This window comes from Homo sapiens, chromosome 13 (genome assembly GCF_000001405.40).
Source record: "Homo sapiens chromosome 13, GRCh38.p14 Primary Assembly".
Taxonomy (NCBI): domain Eukaryota; kingdom Metazoa; phylum Chordata; class Mammalia; order Primates; family Hominidae; genus Homo; species Homo sapiens.
Window position 1 is genome coordinate 29,076,477 of NC_000013.11, and position 23,831 is coordinate 29,100,307.

General features: G+C 38.8%; 1 protein-coding gene across 13 annotated transcripts in view; it reads left to right on the forward strand.

Moving 5' to 3' along the window:
• The window catches only part of MTUS2 (microtubule associated scaffold protein 2), a 685,985-nt gene that overhangs the window by 256,514 nt on the left and 405,640 nt on the right, over positions 1-23,831 (forward strand). The gene's annotated exons all lie outside the window — the stretch shown is intronic.

The window sequence follows — 23,831 nt, forward strand, 5'->3', positions numbered from 1 at the left end:
GTTTGCAGTCAGATTTGGTTAGTTCTACACATCTGAAGGCTTGATGGAGGATGGAGAACCCTTTTCTGAGATGAAGTGATTACTCACATGGCTGACGAGTTGATGCTGGCTGTTGGCAGGCCTCAGTTCCTCCCCATGTGAACCTCTGGACGGGGCTGCTTAAATGTCCTCATGGCATAGCTGGCTTCCCCCTCGATGAGCAATCCAAGAGCCCAGGGAAGAATCTGCAGTATCCTTTATGACCAAGACTCAGAAGTCACACACTTCGCTTCCTCAGTATTTTACTGGTCAGCCCTGATTCACTGGTGTGAGGATCACTGGAGAGCCACCATCTTGGAAGTTAGCTCCTGTGCACCTTGACCTATGTTCTATTTTTCCTTTTGGTGGAAAGGTGCTTTTGCAATTACAGTAAGAGTGGCATTAATGATAGCAGCAATAGCAATGCCTATCATTTGTTGGGTGTTTATTATATGTTAGGCAATATGATAAGCATTTTAGATGCAATTTCTTTTCTATCATTGTAATGAATAGATGGTTTTATCCTCATTTTTCATGTGAGAAAACTGAAATTCAAAGAGTTTGAGTCTTTCTTGAGATTATACACTTGCTAGTAATTATACAAAATGCAGATCTGTAATACAGTTCTGAAATGTGCCACTTCTCTTGCTTTGTTTAATTGTGTCTTTCTTTTCTCCTTTGGGAGAGCTGTAGCCCTAATACTACAGAGTTGTGTTTAAAGAGGTTTGTCCCAGTGTGAAGAAAGCTTGATAAAAAACAGCTGCTGTTTGTTTATGTTTCCAAGCAAGGTGAGAGAGGAAGAATTGCTTCTCAGCCATGTGAACAAAGCAAACCACCTCTCTAACAAAGTATCTGTGAAAGGAGAAACTGTAAAAACAACTAGGAAGAACTATGGTAAAATTAAAAAAAAAATGAGCCCAAACAATATATTGCCCTGTACATATAAATGTACCAGAGAAAAACTTCAAATATGAAATTATAAGGAAAACATGGCCCTTGAATAAAAACACTGAATCATTCTGCTTGATGTGTTTTGCTTTCATTTAGTTTTTTCTTCCCATAGCACTTACTCTCACCTCTATTCCGGTCCTGTTACCCACTTTATCTTAGGCTGTGGTTATCAGTGAGCCACAGTGCTCCAGCAGATTGTCAGCCCTGGTAGGGACTACTCCTTCTTTGTTTCTGAATTTTCCAGAACACCTTGTGAAGTGTCTTGACAATGGTAGGCATCTGTGAATGCGTATTGAATTGGATTAATATACATTTACTTTCTTAACTTCTTTACTGGTTGCCTGGAATGTCAAGAACGTTTGACAATGTTGGATGGATCTTTATCAATATAATAGTAAAACTTAAAACGCTATGATTTTAGTTGATTGAGATATTTTTGTAACATTACAGAGTCATTAAAAGGAGAATCAATACAAAAAGGGAAAATGGCAAAACAAACTTAATTCTTCAAGTTTCATCAAAATGAGAATATCTGGTTTTTTCAAAGGATTTATCTTTTAAAAGAAAAATGATATTATTTTGAAAGAACAACACATCTTTTAAAAGTTCAGCAGCAGCACAATCTTTTTTGTTGTTCGAATAGAAATTTTCATCTTTTTTTTGGGCAAAATCTTGTCAGAATATAATGATAAAAATGAAAGAAATGAGTCCACTTCAGCTTCTTTGCATGAGATTTGAATATTTGATCTTAGGTTTTTATTAAAAAATGTTTATTAGCTTCTGGATTTATTTAAATTAATTTCCCTATTAGGATTTTATTCATTTAGAAGAGTCTTTGATCTGCCATACAAAACATTTATTCCACCTGCATGAGAGGAGTGTTTTTGTAGAGGACATACAATAACAGACCAAGTTTTCTATCTGACACAGGCCCTTTGAAAGTGAAGATATTTATATAGATTGGGAAAACAGCCATAGCTCTGTCTTAATGTAAGCCTATTCCTGAGCTGAAGAACTTTTATTTACCATAACAGCTTTGTTGAGATATAATTCGTGTACTATATGCAATTCACAATTTAAAGGATACAATTTAGTGGTTTTTAGTATATTCACAGAATTATGCAAATATCACTGCAATTTTATAACATTTTCACAGTCCCAAAAAGAAAGAAATCTTGTATCCATTAGCAGCCACTCCCTCAAGCCCCAGTTCTGGGAAACCATTAAGCCATTTTGTCTCTATTTTGGGCATTTCGTGTAATGGAATCATATAATATGTGGCCTTTCAAACTTCATCCACATTTCAGCATGTATCAGTACTTCACTCCTTTTTATAGCTGAAAAATATTCCAGTGTATAGGTAATCCACTTTGTTTATCCATTCATCAGTTGAAGTATATTTGCATTCTTTCCAACTTTTGTCTCTTATGAATAATGTCAAATTTATGTGCAAGTTTTATGTAAACATATCTTTTCATTGGAATATACCTAGAAGGAGGATTGCTTGGTCACATTGCACCTCTGTATTTAATCTTCCAAGAAACTGCCAGGCTGTTTTCCAAAGTGGCTGCACTATTTTACATTCCCACCAGCTATATGTGGAGGGCTCCAGTTTCTCCATATCCTCACCAACACTTGTTATTGTCTGTCTTTTTAATTATAGCTGTCCTAATGAGTGTGTCATGGTATCTGATTATGGCATTGATTTGCACTTTTTCTGATGGCTGAAAATGCTGTGCATTTTGTCATGTGTTGCTGGCCAGTTAGTTGTACATGTTCTTGGGGGAGATACCTATTCAATTTATTTGCTAATTTTAAAATTTGGTTATTTTTCTTTTCATTGTTGTGTTGGAATAGGTATTTATACATGTTGGATATTAGACACTTATTTGCAAATATTTTATCCCATTCTTAGGGTTTTTTTCTCTTTTTTGATAGTGTCCTTTGAAGCACAAAAACTTTCAGTTTTGATGAAATTCAACTTACCTAAATTTTTCTTTTGTTACTTATGCTTTTCATGTCATAGCTAAGAAACCATTGGCTAATCTGGTGTCATCAAGATTTATACCTATTTTTCCCCAAGAGTTTTGTAGTTTTTTCACACACCTTGAAGCTTTTAATTCATTTTGAATTTTTAAAATATAGATGAATAGGGGTCTAGCTTTCTTTGGAATAAGTATATTTAACACCATTTGTTGAAAAACCTCTTCTTTATCCAATGAATGGTCTTGGCAACCTTGATGAAATTTAGTTCACCACAAATATTGGGTTTATTTCTGGAATGTTAATTCTGTTCTACTTAGCTATATGTCTATCTTTATGCTAGTACCACACTGTCTTGATTATTGTAGCTTTACACTAAGCTTTGAAATGGGGGAGTATGAGCCCTCCAACTTTGTTCTTATTTTTCAAGATTATTTTGGCTATTCTTTGTCTTTTGAATTTCTATATGAATTTTAGGATTAGCTTGTTAATTTCTGCAGATAAGCCATGTGGCATTTTACATAGGAATTGCATTGAATCGGTAGATCAATTTGGGGAGTATTGCCATCTTAACAATATTAAGACTTCCAATCCATGAACATGGGATGCTTTCTAATTATTTATGTATTCTTAAATTATTTCAACAATATTATATAGTTTTCAGAGTAAAAGATTTATACTTCTTTTGTTAAATTTATACCTGTTGTAGCTGCTCTGTGGACATAGGTGGATTCGTATCTCAATTTTGTTTGGATTCTCATTTAGTATTAGGAAAATATTTAGGTAATTTGAATTTGTAGTAAAGCAAAGTGGAATATTATAGAGTGGCCTTTTTATAAAGTAGTTTGGTATGAGTTAAAATTAATACAGAGGAAAAAAACCCCAAACTACTCTACTTTGGTTCTTACATTAATTGGAACTTTAGCAATGAGGTGATTCCATGGTGTATTAGGGTTATCCAGAGGGACAGAACTAATAGGATAGATGGATATATAAAGGGGAGTTTATTAAGGAGTATTGACTCACACTGTCACAAGGTGAGCTCCCACAATAGGCTGTCTGCAAGCTGAGGAGCAAGGAAGCCAGTCCATATCTCAAAGCTGAAGAACTTGGAGTCTGATGTTCGAGGGCAGGAAGCATCCAGCACAAATGTAGGCTTGGAGGCTAAGCCAGTCTGGTCTTTTCTTCTGTCTGCTTTTAATCTGGCTGCACTGGCAGCTGATGAGATTGTGCCCACCAAGATTGAGGGTGAGTCTGCCTTTCCCAGTCCACTGACTCAAATGTTAATCTCTCTCTCTCTCTTTTTCTTTTTTTGAGACAGAGTTTCACTGTTGTCACCCTGGCTAGAATGCAATGTCACAATCTCAGCTCACTGCAACCTCTGCCTCCTGGGTTCAAGTGATTCCCCTGCCTCAGCCTCCCAAGTAGCTGGGATTACAGGTGCCCACCACTATGCCTAGCTAATTTTTGTATTTTTAGTAGAGATGGGGTTTCACCATGTTGACCAGGGTGGTCTTGAACTCCTGACCTCTGGTGATCCTCCCATCTCAGCCTCTCAAAGTGCTGGATTACAGGCATGAGCCAACGCGCCTGGCCCCAGATGTTAATCTCCTTTGGCAATGCTTTATTACTGACATAAATAAAGCAGGGCAGTCCTCTCAAGCAGATTGAAAATGTCTTGAGAGAGCACTGAAAGGAGATTGGCTTGGAGTTTTTATTGAGGTTAGGGTATAGGGTGGGGCAAGGGTTTCTGTACATAAACAGGAACTTGCCTGGTTTGACTTTCCCACAAGCACCAGAGGAGGGAGCATCTAGGCTTTGTGATCAGTCCAGATGTGGGCCATAAGGGGAAATGAGAGCAGTGAGGCTGAAAAAGATGACAGCTTCAAACATCAAACACAGGAGTCTTACTATTACAATTCACCCTGATGTCTAACTGACGACTAAAACATACTATATATTATTTTATTGAATTTGAGCTTGTTTAGTAAGCCCTTATGGTGCTCTATGAGGCTTATAGCCTGAGGCCAATAAGGAAGACAAACATTCCATTGAATCCCTTGTTCAAGAGCCCAGCATTGTGTGTTCTGGGAAGCAAAACGTTTCTTGTACTATCAGTGTCTGGAACTCCAAAGTGTTAGGTTGGTGCAAAAGTAATTGCAGTTTTTACCATTCAAAGTAATGGCAAAAACTGCAATTACTTTTGCACCAACCTAATAGATAAGGAGTGTCTTGATGAGACCTTATATTGTGGCTTGGGCATGTGTAGAGATATGTGTGACTTTAATTTATATTTTGGGTATCTGTAGGGCGAGAGATTACCAGAGGTTTGGTTATTTTTGTTTTGTTTTGTTTTGTTTTGTTTTTGTTTTTGTTTTACCCCAAGTGTGGCAACCTTGAACGAGAAATTGTTGTGGTCTTTGACTAGACCAGAGTGTCAGACTACTGGCAATGACCCAAGAATATAAAAATATGCAGATGGAATCAACTTTTGGCCGGAGTATCCAGTGTTACACGACTGCCTGAAGTTTGTCCGATTGTGGTGACCCTTGGTTTCAGTTATGGACTGACTGTTTGTGTCTCCCTAAAATTCATATGTTGAAGTTCTAACCCCCAATGTGATAGGAGTTGAGGCTTCAGGAAGCAATTAGTTTTAGATGAGGTCATGAGGATGAAGCCCCCATGGTGGGAGTACAAGAAGAAACACTTGAGTTTCCTCTTCTGCTGTGTGAGGACACAGCAATAAAGCTGCCATCTGCAAGCTAGAAAGAGGGCCTTTACTGGAACCTGACCATGCTGGCACCCTGATATTGGACTTCTAGCCTGCAGCACTGTGAGAAATAAATGTCTGTTGTTTAAGCCACCCAGTCTGTGGCATTTTGTTATGACGGCCTGAGCTGACTAAGATAGGTCCCATCTTGTATCAGCAACATATTGATTAGGGGATGAAAAGTAGCAGCTCTCCAGTGAGCTCCGTCATGCCTGATGGTGATATTTTCATCTGTAAAATGTATGAACTCCCATTGCTGTTGATTAGTTGATTGCAAGTGGCTCCTTACATAGCCAAATCTTAAAGGGGTGACCTCCTCCAGCACTGTGGCATCAGGCAAAGGTCTGAGGAAAGGGGAGGCCCTCCTTTCATCCTCCTACAACTTGGCAAATAGAATATGCGAGAGGGCCCACGTTTGGCCCTGTCCTGTAGCAAAGAGGCCTCAATAGCTATGCCAAGCTTGCAGGGTGCCACTTGTATGACTCAAGGCATAATGGAGACCTGGGTATGGAGGGTCACGGGTTCAGAGAACAGAAGTTTCTCTTCTCAGGAGAGATCAGCACATGGCCAGAATTTGGTATTCTTATATTGTATACAGCAGGGCCAAGGGGGTTCAGTTTCTTGTATCAGAAGTCCAGGGGTAACTTATAGCCATTATAAGTGGTCTAGAGACTCCAGGAAGCATGAGAGGAGGTTACTAAAGCTTTTATAGTGAGGAGTCTCTGAGGGAACTAAAGGAAATGCATGTTGATTGCAGTTTGGACAGATTCTAGAGGCGGTTGTTGGAGGGAAGCCCATTGAAGATGGGCTTCAATAAAAATTTACAAAGGAAGGATATTTTGCTTCCTGAACCCAAAAAAGCCTAAAAGACCCTGGGCTTCCCTTACTATTTTTGGTGCTGATACAATCATTAGCTATTTCTTAAGAGTCAGGGGATGGAGTTCCCTGCAGTTTACCAGGTAATTTTCAGGAATTTAGCATGGTGGCAAGACGTTGTACTATGCACAAGGCAATGGCCCATTTCTCTTCTGTGAACTCCTTGGTGAGTTTTTATTTGTATGTCCTGAACGAGTGTGTCGAATGTCGAATGAATGCCTTCAGAAGAGAATGTCATCAATATAATGTCATGCCTGTACTCTTGGAGAAAGTTGAGTGCAGTTAAGACCTTCCCTGCAAAGGCTTGTGTATGATGGCAAGGCTGTTGGGGTACCCTGTGGGTGGCCACCAGCTAAAGATAGGTTGTATTCCTTTAGAGGTAAAGGAAAGTTTTGACTAAGAAGCTGTTGAAGTGGGAGCTGAATGGAACATATTAGCCAAATCTATAATAGCAAAATACGTTGCAGTTGCTGATTAGATGGAGTCAGTCAATTCAATAATATAATGTCTGGGGGCCTTACTGGGTAGCACTATGGCATTAAGGTTACATAATCCACTGTGTAGTGTCATTCATTCCAAATTTAAGAACAGGCCAAATTGAGTTCTTATATGAAGGAACAATGGAGGCATGTGATGGATTTCAGTACTTGTAAGTTTCTGTTTAAATTTACATTGAGCCATACTAACTGGTTTTACTAGGGGTATGGTCCATGGGGTCTCATTTTGCCAAGCCAATTTTGTATATGTCAAATTCTTAATTATATTTAAATGTATTGATCATTAGGCCAGAGTGTCCATGCTCACTATGGGATATTTTAGGACAATGAATGCTATGATACTGGAAAATTTAGACAATAATTCCTGCAGTTAAGGTGAAACATACTTATGTGCCCTCTATTTTTTGTTCAGTAACTCCCCTAAGATTATAGCATGTTAATCTGTAAATGAAAGACTTATAAATTAGATCTATATTATAGATTATAATTATAGGGGGTAATTTGTTTAAATTTAATGAGATCCCAGGAATAAATGTAGTTTGAGCCTCAGTGTTAAGGCCATGAAGATTTGCCTGTTGGTGCATTCAAATTGTGTTAAAGTTAATTCAGAACCTATGTTGCAGAAGTACAAAAGCCAGTTAGTGCCCTTTTAAATCTTACGTTGTATAAATTCTTTTAGTAAATTTTGGATTTCAAATTGGGTCCAACTGTGGGCCTCTGTTTCACTTTTTTGTTTCCTGTCTCATATCTGGTTGCTTTCTCCATCTCTTTCTTCTTCCCTCCACCCTCCTTAAAAAAAAAAACAAAACAACTGTTGTTGTTACTGAGCATTCTCTCTACTTTGCTTAGATTTATAAGTTCCATCCTCCAGAGAAGTTCAAATCAGTATTGTCAGGGTTAGGGGCTCCTCCATGCAATGGTCTCTTTCTCTTTTTCCTTTCCCCTCCCCTCCCCTCTCCCCCCCTTCTTTTCTTCTTTCCTTTTTTGATGGAACCTTGCTCTGTCGCCCAGGCTGGAGTGCAGTGATGCAATCTCAGCTCACTGCAACTTCTGCCTCCTGGGTTCAAGCGATTCTCCTGTTTCAGCCTCCCTAGGAGCTGGGACTGTAGGTGCATGACACCACACCCAGGTAATTTTTGTATTTTTAGTAGAGGTGGGGTTTCACCATGTTGGCCAGGCTGGTCTTGAACTCCTGACCTCAGGTGATCCACCCCCCCCCCTCACCGTTGGCCTTCCAAAGTGCTGGGATTACAGGCATGAGCTACTGTGCCTGACCTCAGAGGTTACTTTATAGGGTTTAAGAACACTGGGTTTAACTAGTGATATGGTTTGGATGTGTGTCCCTCCAGATCTCATGTTAATGTGATCCCTAATGTTGGAGGTGGGGCTAATGGTGTTGGATCATGTGGGTGGATCCCTCATGTATGGCTTAGTGCCATCCCCTTGGTGATGAGTGAATTCTTGCTCAGTTCGTTCATGCAAGGAGATGCAGTTGTTTAAAAGAATCTGGGACCTCTCCCTTCTTTCTCTCTTTCTCCCTTTCTTGCCATGTGACATGCAGGCTTCCCTTTACCTTCCACCATGAGTGGAAGCTTCCTGACATCTCACTAGAAGCAGAGGGTGATACCATGTTTCTCATACAGCTAGAAGAACCATGAGCAAAAGTAAACCTCTTTTCTTTTTCTTTTATTTAGTAACTGTTATTTATTTTACTTTTCAACTTTTATTTTAAGTTCAGGGGGTACATGTGAGGTTTGTTACATGAGTAAATTGTATGTCACTGAAGTTTGATGTACAAATAATTTTGTCACCCAGCTAGTAAGCATAGTACCCAATAGGTAGTTTTTAGACCCTCATTCATTTGTCACCCTCCCTGCTTAAGTAGACCCCACTGTCTATTGTTCCCACCTTTGTGTCCATATGTACTCAAAGTTTAGTTCCCATTTACAGATGAGAACATGTGGAATTTGGCTTTCTGTCCCTGTGTTAATTTGCTTAGGGTAATGGCCTCCAGCTCCACCCATGTTCCTGCAAAGGACATGATCTTGTTCTTTTTTTGTGGCTGTGTAGTATTCCATGGTGTATATGTACCACATTTTCTTTATCCAGTCCACCATTCATTGGGCACCTAGGTTGATTTCATGTCTTTACTATTGTGAATAGTGCTATGATGAACATAGGCATGCATGTATCTTTTTGGTAGAATGACTTTTTTTCCTTTGGCTGTATACCCAGCAGTGGGATTGCTAGGTCAAAATCAGTTCTAAGTTCTTTGAGAATTCGCTAAACTGCTTTCTATAGTAGCCAAACTAATTTACATTCCCACCTGCAGAGTATAAGCATTCCCTTTCATCTTCAGCCTTGCCAAAATCTGTTATTTACTGATTTTTAAAAAAGAGCCATTCTGACTGGTGTGAGATGGTATGTCATTGAGGTTTTGATTTGCATTTCTCTGATGATTAGTGATGTTGAGCATTTTTTCATATGCTTGTTGGCCGCATGTATGTCTTCTTTTGAGAAGTGTCTATTCATGTTCTTTGCCCATTTTGAAATGAGGTTTGTTTCTTGCTTGTTGATTTGTTTAAGTTCCTTATAGATTCTGGATATTAGGTCTTTGTTGCATACATAATTTGCTAACATTTTCTCCCATTCTGTAGGTTTTCTGTTTATGCTATTGATAGGTTGTTTTGCTGTGCAGAAGATCTTTAATTAGATCTTACTTATTTATTTCTTCTTTTTGTTACAATTGCTTTTGGAGACTTTATCATGAAATCTTTGCCAAGGCCTATGTCCAGAATGGTATTTCCTAGGATTTCTTCTAGGGTTTTTATAGGTATTACATTTAAGTCTTCAAGATTGTAGGTGTGTGGTTTTTATTTCTGGCTTCTTTAACCTGTTCCACTGGTCTGTGTGTTTGTTTTTGTACCAGTACCATGATGTTTTGGTTACTATATTCTTGTAGTATAGTTTGAAGTTGAATAGTGTTATGCCTCCAGCTTTGTTCTTTTTGCTTAGGATTGCTTTGGCTATTGGGGCTCTTTTTTGGTTCCATATGAATTTGAGAATACGTTTTTCTAGTTCTGTGAAAAATGGCATTGATAGTTTGATAGGAATAACATTGAATCTGTAATTGCTTTGGGCACTATGGCCATTTTAACAATGTTGATTGTTTCTATCCAAGAGCATGGAATTTTTTCCATTTCTTTGTGTCATCTATTATTTCTTTCAGCAATGTTTTGCAGTTTTTGTAGAGATTTTTCACCTCCCTGGTTAGCTGTATTCCTAGGTATTTTATTCTTTTTGTGGCTATCATGTTCTTGATTTGGTTCTTAGCTCAAATGTTATTGGTGTATATGGTACTGGGTTTTATATATTAATTTTGTATTCTGAAAATTTACTGAGGACGTTTATCATTTCTAGGAGCCTTCTGAAGGAGTCTTTAGGGTTTTCTAGGTATAGAATCATATCATCAGTGAAGTGGGATAATTTGACTTCCTCTCTTCCTATTTGGATGCCTTTATTTATTTCTCTTGCCTGATTACTCTGGCTAGGACTTCCAGCACTATGTTGAATAGGAATGGTGAGAGTGGACATCCTTATCTTGTTCCAGTTCTTAATGAGAATGCTTTCAGCTTTTGCCCATTCAGTATGATGTTGGCTGTGGGTTTGTCATAGATGGTTCTTATTAGTTTGAGATATGTTCCTTAAATGCCTTGTTTGTTAGAGGTTTTTAACATGAAAGGATGTTGAATTTTATTGAAAGCTTTTGCTGTGTCTATGAGATTATTATGTGGTTTGTAGTGTTAGTTCTGTTTATGTGGTCGATCACAATTACTGTTTTGCATATGTTGAACCAACCTTACATCCCAAGAATAAAGCCTACTTGATTGTGGTGGATTAGCTTTTTGATGTGCTGCTAAATTCAGTTTCCTAGTATTTTGTTGAAGATTTTTGCATCTATGTTCATCAGGGATATTGGCCTGAAGTTTTCTTTTTTCATGTGTCTCTGTCAGGTTTTGGTATTTGGAATTTTAGAATACGTTTTTCTAATTCTGTGAAAAATGGCATTGATAGTCATTAGCTGTTGATGCTGGCCTCATGAAATGAGTTAGGAAGGAGTCCTTCCATGATTTTTGGGGTTGTTTTGCTCTCATTTCTCCAGTTCCTCTGGGTATAATGTTAGGTGGTTAGTTTAAGCATTTTCTGGCCAGGTGCAGTGGCTCACGCCTGTAATCCCGGCACTCTGGTAGGCTGAGGCAGGCGGATCACAAGGTCAGGAGATTGAGACCATCCTGGCTAACATGGTGAAACCCTGTCTTTTCTAAAAACACAAAAAAATTAGCCAGGCGTGGTGGTGGGTGCCTGTAGTCCCAGCTACTTGGGAGGCTGAGACAGGAGAATGGCATGAACCTGGGAGGCGGAGCTTGCAGTGGGCTGAGATCATGCCACTGCACTCCAGCCTGGGTGACAGAGCAAGACTCCGTCTCAAAAAAAAAAAAAAAAAAAAAAAAGAATTTTCTAACTTTCTGGTGTAGGTGTTTAGTCCTATAAACTTTCCCCTTAATGCTGCTTTAGCTGTGTCCCAGAGATTCTGGTATGTTGTATGTTTGTTTTCATTAGTTTCAAAGACTTTTTTATTTGTGCTTTAATTTTTATTTTTTACCCAAGTCATTCAAGAGCAAGTTGTTTAATTTTCATGTAATTATATGGTTTAGAGTGATCTTCTTGGTATTGATTTCTAATTTTATTGTGTGATCTCAGAGTGTGGTTGGTTGGTAGGATTTTGGTATTTTTGAATTTGTTGAGAATTGCTTTATGCCTGAGTGTGTGGTTGATCTTAGAGTATGTGCCATGTGCAGATGAGAATAAGGTACATTCTTACATTGTTGTGTGGAGTGCTCTGTAGATGCCTGTTAGGTCCATTTGTTCAAGTGTTGAGTATAGGTCCCAAATATCTTCGTTAATGTTCTGCCTTGATTTCTAATGTCAGTTAGGTGTTGAAGTCTCCCACTATTATTGTGTGGTTATCTAAGTTTCTTTATAGGTCTTTAATGAATCTTGGTGCTGCAATATTGGGTTCATATACATTCAGCATAGTTAAATCATCTTATTGTATTGAACCCTTTATGATTATGTAATACCCTTCTTTATCCTTTCTCATAATAGTGGGCTTATTAAATCATAGTCTATTTTTTTCTAAGATAAAAATAGCAACCCCTGTTCTTTTTGTTTTCTGTTTGTTTCATACATTTTTCTCCATCTCCTTACTTTATGGGTGTCATTGCATGTGAGATGGATCTCTTGAAGACAGCACACAGTTGGGTCTTGCTTATCTATCCAATTTGCCACTCTGTCTTTTAGATGAGATGTTTAATCCATTTACATTTAAGGTCAATATTGATATGTGGTTTGTTCCTGTCATCATGTTGTTAGCTGGTTGTTATGTAGACTTGATTGCATAGTTACTTTATATTGCCAGTGGGCTATGTACTTAAGTATGTTTTTGCAATAGCAGGTATCAGGTTTTTATTTCCATATTTAGCCCTCCCTTTATGGCCTCTTCTAAGGCAGATCTGGTGGTAACAATTTTCCCTAGAATTTGCTTGTCTGAAAAGGATTTTATTTCTCCTTCGCTTATGAAGCATAGTTTGGCTGGGTATGAAATTCTTTGTTGGAACTTCTTTTCTTTAAGGATGCTAAATATAGGGCCCCGATCTCTTTTGGCTTGTAGGGTTTCTGCTGAAAGGTCCACTGTTAAGCTGATGGAGTTTCCTTTGTATGTGACCTGCCCCTTATTTCTAGCTAACTTTAAGGTCTTTTCTTTCATATTGACCTTGGAGAATCTGATGACTATGTGCTTTGAGAAAGGTCATATTGTCTAGTATTTCACAGGGGTCCTCTGAAGTTTTGGATTTATATGTCAACCTCTCTAGCAAGGTCAGGGAATTTTTTGTGGACCATATCCTCAAATATGTTTTCCAAGTTGCTTGCTTTCTCTTCATCTCTCTGAGGAATGCCAGTGAGTCATAGGTTTGGTCTCTTTAGATAATCTTATATTTCTTGCTGGTTTTGTTCATTTTTAAATTCTTTTTTTTGTCTGCATGGATTCAAAGGAGCGGTGTTCAAGCTCTGACATTCTTTCCTCAGCTTGGTCTATTCTGTTATTAGTGGTTCCTATTGCATTATGAAATTCCTGTAGTGAATTTTTCATTTCTGGAAGTTCAGTTTGGTTCTTTCTTAAAATGGATATGTCATCTTTCAACTGTTAGATTGTTTTACTGGTTCTTTGAATTAGGTTTCAGCCTTCTCCTGTATCTCACTGAGCTTCCTTGACATCCATATTTTGATTCTATGTTGTTAATTTCAGCCATTTCAAACTGGTTAAGAAACATTGCTGGGGAGCTAATGTGGTCATTTGGATGTCTTAAGACACTCTGGCTTTTATGGTTGCCAGAAATCTTGCCCTGGTTCTTTCTCATCTCTATGGGCTGATATTACTTTAATCTTTAAAGTTGCTGTTTTTTGGGTGAAACTTTTTGCTTTTATGTTCTTTGATGCCCTTGAGGTTTGACTGTGGTATAAGTTGGGTTTGGCTGACTTTGTTTCTGGATGCTTTCAGTGGGCAAAGGCTCAGTCAGTACTCCTGGGCTGCATGCTCTAACCCTGGGGACCTGAGACCAGGCTTTTGGTTTTGTTCTCTGGCCCCTTGAGGTCAGGCATCTCCTGTGCTGGAAGAGCCGAGATGTTCCTAGTTCTCTGGAAAACAACACTCTGATGGGGGCTGCCAGCAAAAGTGCTCTGGTAGGGTAGTGGAGTGCCTGTGGGAGAGTTCACTGTGCTGGGGTCGTGGGGGCTGCAGGAGAGTACACTGTAGTCAGGGGGCTGCAGGCGAGCCCACACCAGTGGAGTGACTGGGGGAGGCTGCAAGCAAGCACATGCCAGTGAAGGAAGGCTGTAGCTGGTTGCACACTGGTGGCAAAAATGTTCCAATGGGAAGGCAGGGGCTCCTGGTGAAAGAACTATGGCAGTGGCTGCCAGCAAGCATTTCAGCAGGGCATTTAAGGCTGTACTGCATGTGGGCATGGGTAGGCAGGGACTGCAGGAGAGGCCAGCAGACAGGGGATGCCCATACAAAACTGGTCATGTTCTGTGCAGGAGAGCCCTGCTCTCTTTAGGTCTGGTAGCTAATGAAGGCTAAAGCCACTTAGAGGATTCTAACAAGTCTTTGGGGATGGGCACCTATGGCTGTGCTCCACTGCAGCCATTCCCATGCCAAACCCTTTGGGACCCATGCAGACTGGAGTTCTGTCTCTGTCACCTCTCCAGGCAGTTCTCCCCATGAATTCAAATATATCTGTGGGTTTCGTGGAGTATCCTGCAGCTAGGATCCTGGAGGTCTGTGGAGAGAGTAGTCCACTCTATTCTTAGCTCACTCACCCCTTCTCTGGTTGCCACTTGGGACCCACAGTGACTTCTGGTACTCAGCAACTTTGTGCAGGGTTCCAACCTCCTCCTCATCAGCCCCAGGGTCTGTATCCTTCCTCTATTGATTCTGGATGCCTTCTTTCTGAAGATCTGCTTGGAATATGGCAGTCTACTCAATAGGTTCTGTCTCTCTAGGTGGGAGAAGCTCCCCCAGCTGCATCTAGTCAGCCATCCTGCCCCTTTCTCTTTTGTTTGTAAATTACCCACACTCAGGTATTTATTTATAGTGACACAATCAGACTAATACAAGTAGAGTCTGAATTAACCTCTTCAGTGTGCCACAAGGGTGCCATGGGTGTTTTTCTCTATAAGCTTGAGGGTCAGGATTTTTGTGGCTACAGAGGTCTAGGCAACAGCAACTAAGATATTTAAGGTCCTGTGGAGTTGTCTGCTTCTAAGGAATGCCGATCTCAGTACTCCACATTATGGCCTTTGTTTCTTTTTCCTTTTTTTCCATTAATGACCACTCTTTCATGAGCTTTTGCCCAGTAGGCTTATATCTTCACATGATCCAGTCTTCCCCTTAGTGCTCTATAGATCTGGAGCCAATACCTAGTTGAGACACATAACCAGTTGTCACAGGGTAATCTTTCCTTGAGCCTAGCATAAGTCACAACTTCATTCTTAGAAATACAGATAGGTCCAGACTGAGACACATGCCTAGGGCCAGCTTAAGAAAGCCCTACCCCAATCTCATAATCTTATTCCAAAATCAATTAATCATTGAATCTTCCAATTTAGTTCAGCATTATCTGTAACAGAAGCTCTGTAGGACTCAACAGTGCAGCACAGAGCAGCACAGCTCAAAGCACAAGAAGCCAAGAAGGAACAGTGCAGAGTACATGCTTGCTAGAAGGCAGCAGAGCCTGTTAACAAGCCAAAGCCTGAGGAAAGACCCCGGTGGAGGTGGTCATTGTCTCAGCATCCTGATCCGGCACCTGTTGTTGTAGCCACCCTGAAGAGGTAAGATGAACCTCAGCCAAAAATTTGGTTTAGATGTCAAGAGTGATTATGATAGCAGCAGGAGGCAGTCAAATGCCTAGGCAGATAGGGTTGGGTTCCCAGTGAAACCACACCTTCAAGCCAAAGCCAATTTAAAGCCTGAAAGCCAAGCTACAAGTCAAACCCATGGAATGGACTGAGAACCTCTCTTTCTGTTTGGTGTGCGTTCCTCTGATTGATTCTAACCCTTCACCCATTTTACATATTCCTACTCTTCCCTAATTGTTTTTTTACACTGTCATGCCCACCTTTACATGGTGCCTTTGTTTTAGCCTTTTTTTTGCATACTAACAAACCAATCAGCATGTACTCACCCATTCTAAGCCCATACAAGTCCCAGACCCAGCCACGCTGGGTGGGTGACCACTTGACTTTGGGTAGGGACCACCCTCGCATCCCCTCTCTGCTGAGAGCTATTCTTTCACTCAATAAAATTCTTCTTCACCCACCTCACCCTTCGATTGTCAGAGTAACCTTATTCATCTTGGATGTGGGACAAGAACTTCGGAACCTCTGAATGCGGGTACGAGCTGGGCCAGGGGCACACCTGGCCCAGTTGTAGGCTGAGCATGGGATCCAGGCTGGTGCACAAGCCAGGCATGGCCCCGCCAGACGAGTGGATGGGGCACCTTCTGCAACAGGCCCAGGGCCAAGTGAGGCCCTGGGCAGAGACGTCATTGGCCATGGAGGTCTCTGGCTGGCAAAGTGACAGAAAAATCATGTATCAATTATTCCACACACAAAGCAAGAGGGTTTGAAAAGTTTTATGACTTACATAATTGAAGTCTCTGGGAAGAGAGGACTGGCCTCTCATACATTTGAAATGGCTTGAGAGCACAAGGAAAGAATGCTGGCTCAGGATTTTTATTATCATTATGGAGTGGGGCAAGTGTAAGTGTTCTCATGGAAGTGGGACGGAGTTTGTGAGGTTTTGATCTAAATTACCACCCTCACTCCTGTCCCACTTCCTAGCATCAAAAGAGGGTGCATTGGGCTTTCTTAACAGCTTTCCCCGATATGGGGCCAAAGGAGTGGGGATTGAGGCTAAAAGCTGTTAGCAGTCAAAGTGAAAACAAACAAACAAACAAAAAACTATGGAGTATTGGCTGGGTGCTGTAGCTCATGCCTGTAATTCCAGCACTTTGGGAGACTAAGACGGGCAGATCACGAGGTCAAGAGATTGAGACCATCCTGGCCAACATGGTGAAACCCCATCTCTACTAAAAATACAAAAATTAGCTGGGCGTGGTGGTGCATGCCTGTAATCCCAGCTATTCGAGAGGCTGAGGTAGGAGAATCACTTGAACCTAGGAGGTGGAAGTTGCAGTGAGCCGAGATCATGCCACTGCTCTCCAGCCTGGCGACAGAGCAACACTCCATCTCAAAAAAACAGAAAACAAAAAACTATGGAGTCTGATCGTTTATGATAATTCCTAAGTATTTTATTCCTTTTGGTCTACTGTAAATACAAATTGTTATCTTAATTTTATTTTTTGATGATTTATTGTGAATGTGTAGAAATACAGTTGATTTCTGTATGTTGAATTGTATTCTGTAAACTTGCTAAACTCATTTATTAGTTATAATAGTTTTTTAGTGGATTTCTTGGGATTTTCTATATATAAGATCATGTCATCTGCAAAGAGAAAGTTTTCCTTTTTGTTTCCAATCTGTACATTTCTTATTTTATTTTCTTGCCTAATTTCTCTGGCTAGCACCTTCCATACAATGTTAAACAGAAATTGTGAGAGCAGACAACCTTTTCTTGTTTTTAATCTTAGAGGGGAAGGATTCAGTCTTTTACTGTATTAGCTGTAGGTTTTTCCAATAAGCCCTTATAAGATTGAATATATTTTCTTTAATTACCAGTTTAAATGTTTTTATCATGTGGTTTATCTGAATCAATTAAGAAGATCATATGGTTTTTCTTTATTAATATGGTATAGTACATGGATTAATTATGTATGTAAAACCGATCTTGCATTCCTAGCATAAATATCACTTGATCATGGTATATAATATTTTGTATATGTTGCCAGCTTCAGTGCGCAGTATCTTGGTGAGGATTTTGAATCTATAAGAGTTATTGATTTATAGTTTTCTTGAGATGTCTTTATCTGGTTTTAGCATCAAGATTATACTGGACTTATAGAATGAGTTTAGAAGTATTCCCTCTTCTTTTTTTGGGTGGGGGGTGTAATTTGTGAATAATTCATATTAATTCTTCTTTAAATGTTTGATAGAATTCACTAATGACATCTGTGCCTGGATTTTTCTTTGTGGGAATTTTTTTTTTTATTTCTAATTCAATCTCTCTTTTAGATTTTCAGAGTTTCTATTTCTTCTTGATTCAGCTTTTATAGTTTGTATTTCTGTGGAATTTGTCCATTTCACTAGGTTGTCTAATTTGTTGAGATGCAGTTGTTCATAGTACAATATTCCCATATGATCCTGCAAAATAAGTGGTGATGTTCCCTCTTTCATTCCTAATTTTAGTAATTTGAGCCTTCTGTTTTTCTTGGCTGGCTCAGCTAAAGGTTTGTCAAATTTATTGATAATTCAAAGAACTAGGATTTTGTTTTCATTGGCTTTCTCTCCTGTTTTTCTATTCTCTGTTTTATTTATTTTCACTGTAATCTTTATTATTTCTTTTCTTCTTTTGGTTTAAGTTTAGTTTGCTCTTCTTTCTTCAGTGTTTTAAAGTCAAAAATTACTTTATTGAATTGACATCTATCTTCTTTTTTAATGTAGGCATTTACAGTTATAATTTTCCTTTTAAGCATTGCTTTAGCTGCTTCCCGTAAGCTTTGGTATGTCATTCATTTTTATTCATCTTAGTATTTTCTAATTCCCCTTTCAATTTTATCTTTGACCCAGTGGTTATTTATGTGTGTTCATATATTTGAGAATTACCCAAATTTCCTTGTTATTGATTTTTAATTTCATTCTGTTATGACCACAGAACATACTTTATATCATTTCAATCCTTTTTAATTTATTAATGCTTGTTTTATGGCCTAAGATATAGTTTATCCTGGAGAATATTCTATGTGCACTTGAGAAAAATATGTATTCTGCTTCTCTTGGGTGGAATGTTTTATAGAGGTCTGTTAGGTTTAGTTAGTGTTCAGATCTTCTATTTTCTTGTTTATCTTCTGCCTCATTGTTCTATTATTGAAAGTGAGGTATTGAAGTCTCGAACTATTATTTTGAATTGTTTATTTCTCCTGTCAATTCTGTTCATTTTTGCTTGATGTAATTTGGGTATCTGTTGTTAGGTGTATATACGTTTATAATTATTGTATCTTCCTAATGCATTGACCTTTTTATCATTGTGAACTATCCCTCTTCATTCTGGGTTGACAGTTGTTTTTCTCTTTACCTTTCTACACTTCTTACTATGGTGTATCTAGGTGTGGATCTCTTTACATTTACCTTATTTGGTTTTCCTTGATCTTCTGATGTATACATTAATAATTTAAATAAATTTTCAAAGATTTGGACTATGTAAATTTTTTTTCTGCTTCTGAAACATCCATTCTCTGTATGATGTTGCACTTAATGATGGTCCACATCTCTCTGAGGCTCCACTTATTTTTCTTCATTTCTTTGTGCTGTGTTCCTTGGATTGTGTAGTATGTATTGATCTATCTTCAAGTTCACTTTTTTTTTCCTGCCACTGCAAATCTGTTGTAGAGCCCCTTTAGTTAATATTTCATTTTAGTTATTTTGCTTTTTTAACACTAAACTTTCCATTTGGTTTTTATAATTTCTCTCTTTATTGTTATTTTCTATTTGATGAAATATTGTCGTCATAGCTCCTTTACTTCTTTAAGCATAGTTTCCTTAGTTATTTTATTATATTTATAATAGCTCTTTTGAAGTTTTTGACTGCTGGGTCTTTTCATAGGCAGTTTCTGTTGCCTGCTTTTTTCTAGTATCTGAATCACCCTTTTCTGTATTTTTTTCTTTTGTGTGTCTCATTTTATTTTTGTTGTAATGAAACTTTTAGATAATTATGTAGCATCCTTGACTACTAATTATCTCTCTTCCTCTCTGGGGCTTGTTGTTTGCTTATTTATTTGTTTAACAACTTGGTTGATCTACTTTAATGAAGCCTATTTCCCTTGCACTGTGAATTCACTAATGTTGCTCCACAGAAGACATAGCCTTGGGCATGTACACAATCACACTAAGAATGTTTTAGCAGGGCTGTCTCTCCCGGATCTGTGTTACATTGTCTTCCTCCCTTTGGTATCACATTCAGCTGTCAGGTTCCACTAATTACTGACTGATTGCTCTATAATTTTCTACAGTGTCCTGGGGCATACATTATTCCACAGTCTGATCCAGTTAAATTCAAGCTCCTTTTCAAGGGTAGTTTTTAAAGCCACTCTTTGAGGTTAGTTCTGACCCCTGGATAGCTCTTTTCAGTTATTTCCTTGGCTCTCTCTAATAAACTACCTTGTCTATGGTTTATTATTTTGCTTCATGGAGCTACCAGCCTCCTCCTAATTGCTTACCATCAAAATCTTTATTGTTTTTGAGATTGCCGTTAGGCCCAAACTTCCCTCACAGTTTGTTCCAAACAAAGTTAATTCCTTTGTAGAGGACTCTGGAGATCTCTGTTCTTATGGCCTGCCTCTATGATTGGGCAAAATCTCTCAGTCACCATTCTGAAGCTGGGGTTGGGGACAGTGGACTGCTTCTCTTGGATTGACACTCCTGGTTTATAAGCGAGGTGCGAGGTAGGGACAGTAGCTTCTAGTCTTCTCCCTTTTTCTCTCAAGTGTTGAACTTCTAGCCTATGGTGAGCCATAGGTGATTGGGAAATGGTGATTGGGGCCCCAGTATTGTTTGGCTTGCTGTGCCTGGGGTAGTACCTCTGTCTTATATGTTTGGGCCAAGTGAAGGAAGGTTCCCTGACCTTTTGACCACTCTCTCATGTAATTCAGCCTCTACAACATGGAACTGGGGGTGGGGTTGGAGTGAGAATTGGTGGTGGCCTGCCCATCCCAGGAAGATACTATAGTCCTTGACTCTAGGAGAGGAAACCCATCCTTTTGGCCACACACATCCAGAGTAGAGCTTTCATATATTGTGATGATAGTAGGGGAGGAAGAGAGTGGATTGTGGTTCAAGTGCCACTGACTTTCACTGTTCTTACTGGATTTAGTAGAGTTTCTTATATAAATGTTTCTTTAAGTGCTACATGTTCATAGAACAATTTCTGGAAACTTTAAATGGTGGTTGTTATTTTAAATGTTATTTTACCAGTTATGTTTGTTTCACTGGGAAGAGTGTCCATGGAAAGCCTCATGTCACCATTTTGGAAGTTGTCTTTTTTATGTGCCACCTCAGCTTTCCTGTAATATTTATAGCTATCATTTGTTTATTGAAGGCTTATTATGCACTTGTAACATTTGTATTTCTGTCAAAGTCTATATTCTTGAATAGTCCAAGAACACTAAGTACTTGGAAACATATATTCCTCTAACATGCTAAATGTCTTAGTTCCAGCCGTATAACAAAGTACCATAGACAGTGTAGCGTATAAAAACAGAAATGTATTTCTCACAGTTCTTGTGGCTGAAGGTCTGAGATCAGGGTTGCAGACCACCATCTTCTCATTATATCTTCACATGGTGGAAACAGAGGGAGCTCTGTTTCCAGCTTCTTTTCATATGGGCACTTAGGCACTAATCCCATTCACAAGGGCTCCATTCTTATAACCTAATTACCTCCTAAAGGTCCCACCTCTGAATATCATCACATTGGAAGTTAGGATTTAAACCTGTGATTTTGGGGTTGGGGGAGACAGACATTCAGTCCATCCATAACACTGGACTTGTTTGAGAAATAGTAAGTACTATATATTTTTATAAATATGTCTTTCTTATGAGACACTAAGATTAAATTAAGATACATTCAGTCAGAAGAGCTGAATGCAGTTATTTCACAGGGTGAGTTGGCGTATTCTGTTGAAGTTTTCAAAGATCCAGGGACCACCTGAATCAGAATCACTGACGTGATTGTTTAAAAAGCAGACTCTTGAGCTCTACTCCAGACCAACTCTCATGCAGAGACTAGTTGAGATATTTGACTTATACTGTGGGCTAAATTTGTGTGGTACAAGCTTGGCTAATGTAAACTTCAACTAAATATTTATCAAATACATTGTGGAAACCATTGTGCTAGGAGCTGGTGGTATAAAAGGAATAAGACTTGCTTCTGCAAACCCTGAAGGCGTGTATGATATTCATGAGCTTAATCTGCTAGAAGGAAAGACCATTATATAGTAACTTAGTGTATGATATAGGTACCATTAGATTTACAAAAATTGTATGCGCAGAGAGTTGGGGCAAGGTATACTTTTGCAAGTCATCTAAACACACACACACACACACACATGTGCGTGCATGCACACACACACAAACACACAGCCCATGTGTGTCTTTATTAAAATAAAGATCTGGACTATGGGAAAGGGAAACCTAGAAAACAATTTAGAGACTGGCTTCCTGTGTGCTTGGGATCTTGTGCTGCTTGTCCTCCCCGTCTCTACATGTTCCAGTGCTACTTTTCTACTGATGAAATCAACAATAATGGAATATAAGTAAGTGCAGAATAAGATAAATTTCTTTTTGAACATGTTCAGTGGCTTGTCTTATATAATGATTTAACAAACTTAGTTTTCATTCTTGACTAAGTAGTAAATGCTTACTGCATGCCTAGGTACTCTGTTAAAAATTCTGAGTTTAACTTTTCTTCCAAAATATAGTTTGTTTTTCAGAAAAATTATTTTGTTCATATTCTCCTCACTCGATTTTGCATAATTATTGATTAACTAGGTTAGAAAGGAGGTGATAGATAACTTAAAATAGTATCAAAGTGTAATGGATTTAGAGTATACTTATTGTTGAAATTACATCTGATGTTTAGCAACTCTTTTCCTGTTCTACAGACATCGTCCACAATCAATTTGTCGTAAATTCACTGTGAACATGATATCTGATATATAGGGATATTTTCACTGTTCTGGGGATATGAACTAAAAGTATTCAAAATAATGTGAGAACAACAATGTGAAGTCATTAAACGTGGCATAAATTGCTGATACAAACGGGCCATTACCACTTGTTAGTGTATTGTTTCTTCTTTTTCATAGTTGAGGTTTTGTTTTTTGTTTTTTGTGCTTTTCCCAAGCACTAGGACAGGCTTGAGTTGGGAATATTTGCAGCCCCAGCTCTTTGCTTCTTTTTCCTTTTGCACTTACTCGGTTCCTCCCCATCCTAGTCCTGACTCAGGCATCAGGAACCCACAGCTGTGCAGCTTCTGCCTTTACTGGACACACGGCTCTCCATAGCCTCACTTTCGGGGGAGCTGCTGGCAGAGGAAGAGGTACTTTTCTATGTACCATTTAGACCCAGTGTATCATTTATTGCTGCTCTCTTATTCCCACACATAGATGCTTTCTAATATGTGGTTTCTTCATGGATTTATAGACGTGGAATTTTTTTTTCAAATGGGTCATTTAATCTAAATCCTCGTTTACTCTGAAACCTGGTTAATATTTTACTGGATAATGAAGACTTGACTAGCATAAGAATGCCACTGAATGGGCAGTATATAGGCACTCATGGTAAATATGCCTGCTGGTGAACGTTGTTAAAGGAATCAATGAGGACAGTTATACAGCACTACAGCACGTGAGGAAGCTTGGGCCTTTTAGATTTCCTATTAAAGAGCATTTGTATATTGACAATATTGTGATTCTCTCTGGTGCTGAGCGCCTTCTCATAGTGTTGTGATAATCATTGCAGTTGCTATTGCTGGAGCCTGGCTCAGACTTAGAGTATGGGGATGCTGAGATGCTAGATTTATAACTTGATGTTTTATTATTTCAAAACAAGCTGACTTTGCACATATCTGGGAACTAATTCTGAAGTTTGGACTAACATAACAGATAGTGTAAAAAGGAGAAAAGAAATCTAACATCAGTTTGAGCACATATCAAGTTCTTGTGGTATAAGCAGTAATATTTATACTAGATTTGCAAAGTCAGTGTTATCATTCCCAGTCTTCACATGAAAGGAAACTGTGGCTTTAAGTGTTAGGACAAGGGCTTGAGGTTACACAGCTCGTCATTGGGAGAGCTGATATTCCAGCCTGGCTAGTTCCACAGTCTGCACTATCTCCTCCTCATTCCTGCACCCAACAGAAGGTTAGATGATTCTTTGTACATATTT